Here is a 668-nt window from a genome sequence, read left to right as displayed (position 1 = left end):
TACAGTGGCCAAGAGAGGCATTTTCAAGCTGGCACTGTCCAAAGCTCTTCTAATATTTGGTATTTTACACTTTTTCTAGCTCTTGACACTGTGGTTACCAAATGCAAAAAGCTAAGGTGTCCACTGGATGCTTTTACAAATACTTGAAAAGGTCCAAGATTCTTATCTGGGGCAAACATGGACACTTGGCCCCACTGGCTGCCTATTCTGAAGCTACAGAAGTTGAGCTGGCTTTCTGCCTGTCAGAATCAGGCTCAGCTTATAAACAATCACAATGTAATGACCACCCTGCCCCCTAGTGGAAGGGATGTGTGCCGCTGTCCTAGGTTCTGAAACAGCAGTTAGCCATGAGTCACAGCGGTTTCTCACATCCTCGGGTTCCAGGCGAGATCCTAGTCTGACCTATGACAGTGCGCAGAGTGGCTCATCATTTCTTTTGTCCATCGTGATAAATAGTAGAACTGATTTCATGTAAGCTGTATGGTTCTGTGTCTTCTTAAACTTACTAATTTTGTCTAGGAAGTGGAGAACACTTCTTTTTTTCCTCTGTGTATTCTCATCTTAAATGTTTATGTCTCCTCAGGTCTTGTGCAATTGTCTCAGTAAAAACATGGAATAGATATAATAAAGGTGGTAGAGTAACCACAAAGTAGTAGATAAAAACACAA

The 668-nt window shown here is 42.1% G+C and overlaps 1 annotated feature.

Annotated features, from left to right (window-relative positions):
• Positions 202–251: a silencer, noted in NCBI's record as "silent region_14511". NCBI's record gives its function as "represses an Ori minimal core promoter by ATAC-STARR-seq in GM12878 lymphoblastoid cells {active_cell/tissue: GM12878}" and the evidence as "EXISTENCE:reporter gene assay evidence [ECO:0000049][PMID:35858748]".

The sequence above is a fragment of the Homo sapiens genome, chromosome 3, assembly GCF_000001405.40.
Source record: "Homo sapiens chromosome 3, GRCh38.p14 Primary Assembly".
NCBI classification, from domain to species: Eukaryota; Metazoa; Chordata; class Mammalia; order Primates; family Hominidae; genus Homo; species Homo sapiens.
Note: the sequence above shows the minus strand (reverse complement) of the source record. Positions and strands in the feature narration are given on the sequence as shown.